General features: G+C 45.3%; 1 protein-coding gene across 11 annotated transcripts in view; it reads right to left on the bottom strand.

Annotated features, from left to right (window-relative positions):
* Nucleotides 1–9,818, bottom strand: part of RPN2 (ribophorin II) — a 62,290-nt gene continuing 52,472 nt past the window's right edge. For 4 of the 11 annotated variants that reach the window (NM_001324301.2, NM_001324304.2, NM_001135771.3 and 1 more), the window contains 5 exons: nt 9,229–9,324; nt 7,525–7,600; nt 4,911–5,040; nt 3,171–3,218; nt 1–317 (listed from right to left, as the gene is read on the bottom strand). In NM_001324301.2, coding sequence (NP_001311230.1) covers nt 305–317; nt 3,171–3,218; nt 4,911–5,040; nt 7,525–7,600; nt 9,229–9,324 — 363 coding nt within the window. In that variant the 3' untranslated portion in view covers nt 1–304. The remainder of the gene's footprint in view (nt 318–3,170; nt 3,219–4,910; nt 5,041–7,524; nt 7,601–9,228; nt 9,325–9,818) is intronic. The other 7 variants (NM_001324305.2, NM_002951.5, XM_006723851.4 and 4 more) reach the window with 4 other exon arrangements.

Below are 9,818 nucleotides of genomic sequence, written 5' to 3'. Positions count from 1 at the left end.
TTCCTATTGTTACCCTCTTTATTCCAAAACAATTACACATTTCAACTTTTCAAAAGCAACATCTGGGTAAGTTAGGAATATTCACAGCTTCTTACACAGTGTCAGAGAAAGAGACTATCTGAGCTCACCAGGTATCTGCTGTGTGTTGGGGAAACTGAAAAACAAGCAAAAGTATAACTACAATCTGGACTTTTTTCTTTTTTAAATAAAGTTTTTTTTTTCCATTTTTCTTCTCATACTGTGAATTGTTCTTGACTCCTTTTCTTGACATTCAGTTTTCAGAATTTCCATCTTTCTTCTGGAACTAATGTGCTGTTCTGAAAGAAAATGGAGACAAACACAGAATTACTGAAGGTTTCAGTTCACAGTTACAGTTCCTAACTGGTGACAACAGAGAGACTAAGGTACTCTCCCGCTCTAAGATCCCATTTATAAGGGAATAATCATTTATCTCCCAAGTCTATTTATGTATGCCCCATCTCATTTTACAAAAGAATGTGAGACAGCTAGTTCATAATTAAGCTGATGACAACTTAAATACAAATAACAAAACAAACTCAATAATAACTAAGAAAGTGGTATGTGACAACATAAGGAGATGAGGTAATTCCAGGCACACCTCTCACAGTGCAAGGCCAAAAACACAGTGTAAATTTCAATTAGATGAACAAAGAGCAAAGTTTAAATAATGCTCATCATCAATCTCCCAGACTCCAGCTCTGCCAACCAACACTTGGCCCTTCTGTAGCTTAGAACATGACATCCTGACCATTCATTACAGAAACCTGCACATTCCTGCCGTGTGGCCGTGTTCTTGCCAAGTCACACTCAGCATCTAACCTAACACAGAAAGATTCTCAAAAATGGGACTCAGCTCACAGAAAGTGTTAAAGGGGATAAGAACCTATCTCCTGTACTCTTTGTTTCCCCTCCGCTGCCTTTCCCTAGACTCTAAGGAGGGATGGGGAAGCACAATGAATGAAAATGACAATCTAGACAGACTGTGAAGCTGAGGAGGTGACTGCAGTGAGTAACTGATCCCAGCAGGCTCCAGCAAGCAGAGGCAGGGTTGCTGACACACACACACCATCCTTCAGTGGCAGCTCTTCCCAGGGGTGAGGACTAAGGTGATAATGATCCAGTCTTGCAGAATGGCAGACTCCAAACCCATTAATAAAGCAGTTCCAAAAGACATGCACAGGCATGGAATTAATCTTGAGGGCTGGGGTGTGCACCCCTAATTCCTTGCCAGTATTCAGAGGTTCTTAGGTACACTAATATGTGGGCATTCAGAAATGTTCATGCAGAAAGGATGGCATGAGTATGAAATAAGAACAGCCGAAGGGTAGTGGCCCACAACTCTTGACTGCGGCTAGAACTTACGTCCCACATTATGTCTGCTCAAATCAATGTCTGCCCTCAGATCAAGAACACTTTGCTACCAGGGGGTTTCCTTTCAAATGCTAGGAAATGCCAAATGTCCAAATGATCAAGTGACTTTCCTCTTCCTCAAGCAATGATTTGGGGATAGCAGGGTGGGAACGGACTTTAAAACTCAAGAGACTGAGTAAGGTGGCTCACGTCTATAATCCCAGCACTTTTAGGGGCCAAAGCAGGAGGATTGCTTGAGCCCAGGAGCTTGAGACCAGCTTGGGCAACATAATGAGACCCCATCTCTATAAAAAAAGTTCTTTTTAATCAAGAAAAGAAATCGACTTATTTAAAGAATTAAAGAACTCAACATGTAGCAGCAAGGACAGTTGCTGAAAGCAAATCTCAGACAGAGTGACTATAATGTAGGATGAAACCAAACGGGCATAGCCAGGGAGTGGGGGTGGGAGAAGGGTCGGACTCTAAAAGGGGCACCGGGGAGCTCTCTGGAGAGTGGCAATACCTATATCTTGACTGAGGTGGTGGCTACATGACTACAGAGGTTTTTCAGGATTCACAGAATTGTACACTAAAAAGGGTACATTTTTCTGCAGATAAATTACAACTCCATTAAACCTGGAAACAAACAAACAAACAAACAAACAAACAAACAAATGCAGTTCCCTTCTGTGTTGAGGACTAGGTGACCCAGCTTATGCTCACACATCCATGGAAAGGCTCCAAATACTATGCTTTTGTTGATCTCTCCTATTTTCAGAGGATTAGAAATTAGATGGTTTTGTGGCTTTGGCAGGGAAAGCCATTTCCAAGGCAAAGGATAAAGGAGAACATGACTTGAAAATTCAAATACCTCCCCTCCCTTTGTTGGTCTAGGGCAGGGGTCAGCAAACTGTGCCACTCAGGCCAAATCCAGCCCACCACCTGTCTTGGTGAATAAAGTTTTGTTGGAACACAGCCACACCCATTTGTTTATACAGTCTATGGCTGCTTTCACATGACAGTGACAGAGTTGAGTAGTTGGTGCCAAGAGACCATATGGCCAGTTAAGCCTAAAATACTGTCTGGCTCTTTACAGAAAACTTTTGCCAGACCCTGGTCTAGCGGAGCAGATCAGTGAAGCATCAGACTCTCCTTCTCCTTCCCTCCACTTCCCTCCCATCCTAGGACTGATATGCAGAAGGAGAATGAGTGGAATCTCACTTCACATTTTAGTCACATGGGGAGCAGCCCTTTTAACATACCCTGAGTGCTAGGAACCTGGATTCTGATGCTGGCTTTGATCTGTGGCCATCAGTCCTTCATAAATTACAGTCTCCCCAGACCACAATGTTTAGCCCAACTAGAGATCGGTGTTACAGAAAAGTCTAGAAACAGTGACAAGGTGTGCCAGGATTTGCCATGGGACCGTCATTTAATGAATTTTGGATTTGTCTTATCCTCATCTCAGCTGTCCTGGAAACAGAGAGAGAGGCTTGTCTATAAATAAGTAAGTACCCCACGGGATATAAGGGAGAATGAAGTCTTATACAGTCAAAGCCAGGCCAAAGCTGCTCACTGCAAAGTTATCCCATCAGCTGGGCTAACTCAGGAAGCTTTTGCCCTGGTCCAGTCACAACCTCATCTAGCAAGTTGAAAAGCAGCCTCAGAATTCAGCTGTGGCTTAGGGAGGGGTGGGAGGAGCAAGTGGGCTGAAAACTAGAGAGATAACTGACATGCATGAGGCGGGCAAGACGGGGAAGGGACCCTGCTTCTGGGATGAGTCCGCCCTTCATCTTTACCGTAGTGTCCTATATTTTGCCAATCTACTGCTCTGCTCTGCAGCGATCCTGCCAAAGGAAAGAGGGTTTGAGAATCAAGAAAGGACAGTGAGGGGAGAAATCAGCTGAGGAAAGAAATGACAAACACCCAACCAGAGCTTCCATTAGGGTCACTGATTTTTCCAGGGTAGAGTTCATTCTAGGACTCACAAAGAGGGCCACAGAAGAGTGGGCTTTAAGTTTTTGAATCGAATACATGAGCAGGGGAGAGGGAGGAGTTACTGATCCTTCTGGGATTCTGATAAAAACCATAGTCTCTCTCCCCATAAAATGCATACAACTTTAGGATTCCAGATTAGGAACTCCTGCTAAGCAGAACATAAACCAAATGGTTTCTACTCAATTCTTGTCTTGATTTTTTTCTTAATTTTTATTAATTTTTTGAGAGACGAGGTCTCACTATGTTGCCCAGGCTGGTCTCCAACTCCTGAGCTCAAGCGATCCTCCCGCCTTAGCCTCCCAAAGTGCTGGGATTATAGGCATAAGCCACCATGGCGGGCAGATTTCATTCTTCTCGAGTGAGCAACTTCCAGAAAAGAGAGAACTTAGCAGAGCAGTCTTTTGGCTCCCTGGGGGCCCAGGCAGGTGCTGCAAGGGAACAGGGTTCTGCTTTGCAAAAGCAACTGAGTCCTGGCTCTTTCTCAGGTACAATGCAGAACCACCAGGAAAAGGCTACTGGAGGGTGGCAAAATGAACCAGCTGCCACTGCTGGTGCTAAGGGAAGCTCTGGTGGGCCCTGGATTCCTACAGGAAAGCCAAGGAACACGTCTGTGCCGAGTCTCCATGGTGAAATGCTCAGAAAGCTCACAATGGAGACTCGGGCGGAGATGAGACATCTTCTCCCACCCACTGATGGTCTCCCTGAAAAAGCCTCTCTCTGATCCCAGCACCCTAACTGGCAGCCACGTTGAGGGTACACTATTGAGTTACATTCTTCCAGCAAACGTCCTGGATAGAAGAAAGCGGCACATCTGAAAACGATTTCCAGAGGTGAAAGCAATTCTGTTCTTACTGGCCTTTGCGTGTCTGAAATCACTCAGGTTCTAATAAAGTCAAATCAATGAGAAACACCTTTGTGACATTTAAATTTGCCTCCAATTCTGTTTAGAAAGTCAAGCTGCCAGCAAGCTGCCCTCATGTCAAGGTCTGTCTGACCATCCATGTGACTCTAAGGTTGTCTGGGTCCCGGGGAGATGGTGTAGGCTACTGAGGAGATACTCCTTGCTGGGAGCCTCTGCAAAACCTGCTGCAGCTTCTGTGGGAAATAACACAGACCTCGTGCTTCCGGGACAAGCTCCTGGAGCTGTGAGGGTTACAGAGGAGCAGCTCTCGGGGACATGTTGAGGGTGGGGAGGGCAGGGCAGGATTCTCTGTAGCAGCAGAGAATTTTTACACAGCTAACAAATTAATCTTCTGCCACATCTATGAATGCATTTTCATCTTCATAAAGCTAATAATTTTCCTCTCTCATTCTATTGTATTGGGGCATCAATTACAATGGTTGTAATACATTCAAAGCTGACCACTAAGGCTCTTTTCTGACTTCAAAGTGCTTCTGGCTTCTGTACTGGGCTAGATTAGGGTGTCAGACTTGCCCCTAAGAACACAAATCATTTTGCCACCTACCCTTCAAAGAGCTAGGCCGGCAGAGCTGAGTATTTCTAACCCTACTCTAGATCCCTGGCTCATGTCTGGCCTTACCTCTTGACTGCCTGCTGGGCCAGCATCCGATTGCCAGCCAGAAACGTCACACTGCCCAGGATGGCCAGGTACTTCAAGGTCTGGAACATGTTGAGCTGAGTCCAGTAGACATACATGAGTCCCAGCATAGCTGCAAGAAGAGGTGTCATGACATCCAATTAAATGAAACATAATGATGCCCTGCGGTTGAGGAAAGTTAGACATAGCAACTGTTGGATCATGAAAAGGTCTGTACTCCTATACCAGCTTGTTTTATTCCTTTGCTCTGATGCCAAAAAGTAGCTAACTCAATATATTCGCCTCTCAGCTGTGGCCAAGTGTGTGGCCAGGCACAGTGGCTCACACCTGTAATCCCAACATTTTGGGAGGCTGAGGCAGGAGGATTGCTCAGGAGTTCGAGACCACCCTGGGCAACACAGTGAGACCTCGTGTCTATTAAAATTCAAAAAATTAGTCAGGCGTAATGGTCCATGTCTGTAGTCCTAGCTACTTAGGAGGCTGAGGTAGGAAGATCGCTTGAGCCTGGGAGGTCAAGGATGCAGTGAGCTTGATCACACCACTGTACTTCAGCCTGGGTGACAGTGATACCTCGTCTCAAAACACACACACACCCACAAACAGGGGTAACAATTGGACTTCAGCGACCTGTGCCATGTTCCTGCTTACAACTATTTCTCTGCTTTTGTTTAAAACTCCTCTGTCATGTTATACTTGGCATTCATTTTTCAAATTCTTAACAAAAATACACAGGATATAAATAGGCTGGGTGCGGGAGCTCACACCTGTAATCCCAGCACTTTGGGAGGCCGAGGCAGAAGGATCACTTGAGGTCAGGCATTCGAGACCACCCTGGCCAACATGGTGAAACCCTCTCTCTACTAAAAATATAAAATTAGCCAGGTGTGGTGGCGCAGGCCTATAATCCCAGCTACTTGGGAGGCTGAGGTGGGAGAATCGCCTGAACCTGGGAGGCAGAGGCTGCAGTGAGCCAAGATCGCACCGTTGCACTCCAGCCTGGGCGAGACAGAGCAAGACTCCATCTCAAAAAAATAAAAAATAAAAATAAAAAATAAACAGGATATAAATAAATGAATAATTTCTTTTTTTATGGGGGGAAACAAACTGTAAGGATAATTTGCCACTGTGACTAGGAAGGGAGCAAGGAGGACTCAGGAAGAAGGCTGAGTGAAAAGGGCTCAGAGCTGGGAACGGAGAGCCCTGGGGCCTGGTCCAGGCCCTGCCCTTACCAGCCACTTAACTTCTCTGAGCCCAGATTCTCCCACCTTGTCAAAAGGGATCATAATTCCTGCCCCAGTCACCCTCATCAGGGCTATGATGATAATCAAATGAGAAAACGTGCACAAAAAGCACAATGGCAGGAAAAGCCACGGCTCTCAACAGATTTATATTCAGGTTTTCTTCTCGGTCTGACCCCAGAGGGCTATCATACATATCCAGGAACTGAGCCAGAGAGAAAGGTCATCCTGTCAGTTTTGCCCAGACAGATGACGGATGAACTACAGCGGGGCTCTTAACCACTTCTGAGGTCACGGACCACTGCACCATAATAATCTGATCAAAGTCACAACTCTCTCTTTCCCCAGAAAAATACAGACATTTGCCTAGAATTTCAAGAGACTTATCTATGCACCCCTACAGAATCTGTTTACTATGGGCGCACAGATAGTGACTCCTGAAAGAGGCAAAGAATTTTAAAAATATTAAGGTCAGGCCAGGCGTGGTGGCTCACACCTATAATCCTAGCACTCTGGGAGGCCAAAGGCGGGAAGACTGCTTGAGCCTAGGAGTTCAAGACCAGCTCTGAACACAGCAAGACCCCGTCTCTACAAAAAATACAAATACTAGCTAAATGTGGTGACACAAGCCTGGAGTCCCAGCTGCTCTGGAGGCTGAGGTGGGAGGATCACCTGAGTCTGGGAGGTCAAGGCTGCAGTGAGCCATGAATGCACCACTGCACTCCAGCCTGGGTGACAGAGTAAGACCCTGTCTCAAAAAAAAAAAAACAACGAACAAAAAATTAAAGTCACAGTGAAATGCAAGGCACCCCTGATCCAATAGCATCAAAAGCCTCAGAAATGCTTAAGTGATTTGTGAATTTACTGTCTTGTTATGTTTAGGCTGTTGAAGTCCTAAGGTCTCCAGAGAACGATGCAGGATAGCATGTCTGACTGTGGAAAGGACTGTTTTCTATTACTACACAGACAGAGCCGGCAGCAAATGTGAAGATCGATAGCGTGGGGAAAGATAACCTTTGGAAACTGCATTAATGCTCTTCATCCAGGAAGATTGCTCAATGTAAAGATACGATAAGTGAGTAATCTCTGGAAATAAACAGGGTTATTAACTGAGGGTAAATGGTCTGCCAACAGTGGCACAGTACAACAAAGCCCAATATAATGACAGCTGTTCTAAGTGATGGACCAAACAGGTTTATCTTCGTATTAACTGTCCTAAAAGGCCAGGAGGAAGAGGGAAATGTAATGCTATTAAGTCATTATAGGTAATAGGTTGTGGGTCTACTTAACAGGGCTTTTGCGTGGGCAGGCTAAATGTCAGAGGACGTTACAGGTAATTAGCAGCCTGGGGCACTTACCAGCATGTCCCAGGTGAAATATAATCGTGCTAGGAGCAAAAGTGAAGTTGGAGACATTGGCACCAATCCGGATCCACTGAATGATGGGGAGAAATAAATTAAAAAGGCATTAGAACTTAAAAGGGAAGCAACACAAGCCATGCCAATGCTAATCCCATCAACAGCCCCAAGGCTTCAAAGTTCATGCATCCTAGAAGGACAGGCAATTCTTCCAAGTGACAACCACCCTATTATAAGCCCTCGGGGAAACTTGTTCCCTTTTTCTTTAGAAAGGCATTCAGCACCTGCTCTCAAATGGGCTCGTGTAACTCAAACCTGAACATCATTTTTAATGATGACAAACCCTACTATTTTAAAACAGGTGAGACCATGAAGCTGAAAGGTCAGAAACTGCATTTATAAGGTAACTGACACCCCCACTAAGTTCTCTAAGAATTGGTAAGATAAACCCACCGGCAGCTGGTGGCATTCACGCTCTTGCCGTGGGTTCCATGTCATTTGAAATTCTCATCACTGAAATGTAAGGACAGGTGCCCATACCCTAGGTCTGGTTTCTGAAAACCTGTAGCAAGGCTTCTAGATTTATCTAGATTTAAACAGTAATTCTTTTGTTAAAAGCAACAATTAGGAACACAGGCAACTTTCCAAAAGTAAGATCTAATGAGTGTTTTCTCAAAATTCTCTGAGCTTTGAGGATATGCATTCATGTTTGTTTATAATTTGAAAAAAGAGAAAAACACAATTGGCTAAAAAAAAAAATTCAAATGGTACTGAAAAGGAGAAAAGGTAAAAGTTACTTCCTCTACATTCTCCAGAATGTCCACTCCTCAGAGATGACCAACACTAACACATATCGCCTTTTAAAACTTATTTTTATTTTTTTTTTAGACAGGGTCTCACTCTGTCACCCAGGTTAGAATGCATGGCTCACTGCAGACTTGACTTCCTGGGCTCATGTGATCTTCCCACCTCAGCTCCTCAAGTAGCCGGGACTACAGGCATACGTCACCATTAATTTTTTTTTTTCTAATTTTCTGATTTTAGTAGAGATGGGGTCTTGCTATGTTGCCCAGGCTGATCTCAAACACCTGAGCTTCAAGCAATCCTCCCACCTCGGCCTCCCAAAGTGCTGGGATTACAGGCATGAGCCACCACACCCAGCCACCTTTTAAAACTTTACAGAGGATCATACTAAACACACTACCCTACCCCTTGCCTTTTTCACTCAGTAACACATCTTGGCAATCTTGTCCTATCAGCATATAAATCTATCCATTCTTTGAAAAGCTGCATATTATTCCATCTTATGAACTTTAGGTTGTTTCTGGTTTTCTGCCCCAAGCAGTGCTGAAATCCACAGCCTTTGTGCTGTTTTTTATAGCTACCAGCATCGGATCTCGCTCTGTTCACACTAGATCTCATCTGAACCCTCCTACGGCATCACAGTCCATCCACTTTTGTCATTCTTAGTGGCTGTTAGGTACTTTCTCATGCCCACTTGTTAATGCGGCAGTTTATTTGGCCACTCCTCCACAGTGGGAACTTTTGGTCATTCTAAAATGTCTTGAGCATCAATTCAGGTCACAGCTGCTGGACCCCTCTGGAGCTTTACTGAGGCCAGACAACACAGCCTCCTTTGGAAGGAATGCATCTGCTGGGTCTGGCGCCAGACGCATGCTGCCCACGCTAATTACAGCCACTCACCAGAGCGAAGAGCAGAAGCAACGGCGAGAGGATCAGGGCAGTGAATGTATTGGACACCACGGTGGGGGGCCTCTTCTCAGGCTCGCGGAACAGGTGCTGCCGAAAGACACACCAAGAAGACTTAAGAATGTGCCCTTCCCAGTAGGGGCAGCCATGTATACCGGGGACCAAAGCATCAATGTCAGTCATGAAGAGGATATGCCGCCCAGAGGCTAAAACCTCTTGGCAACAAGTGGGCATGGGGCCTTTTGCCTCTTCTCAATGCTGGCTTTTGATCCCAGAGGTCTCCCTTCCACAGAGACTACATTAACCCCAGCTCACTGCTTGGCCAACCCTTTATTCCCTTCAAAGACTCACTGCCATTCAGAGGCCAGAGAATGCAATCCATCAAGTGGCATTTGGCTAGTGCCAAAGAGGGTGCCCAGGTATATGGATGGCTTGAGTGACAGGACTGAGGCAGGACGCTGGACTCGCAATGTTTCTGGGTTCCTAGGGTGGCCCTGGCAAATGCTGCTGCCCCACTTAATTGGCTAATGGTGGTAACACTATACCTTTTTAAAAGGTAACAGAGCCTCCCTACAGATCTTTCC

Source organism: Homo sapiens, chromosome 20, assembly GCF_000001405.40.
Source record: "Homo sapiens chromosome 20, GRCh38.p14 Primary Assembly".
Taxonomy (NCBI): Eukaryota; Metazoa; Chordata; class Mammalia; order Primates; family Hominidae; genus Homo; species Homo sapiens.
This window is presented reverse-complemented; position numbering and strand designations above follow the sequence as displayed.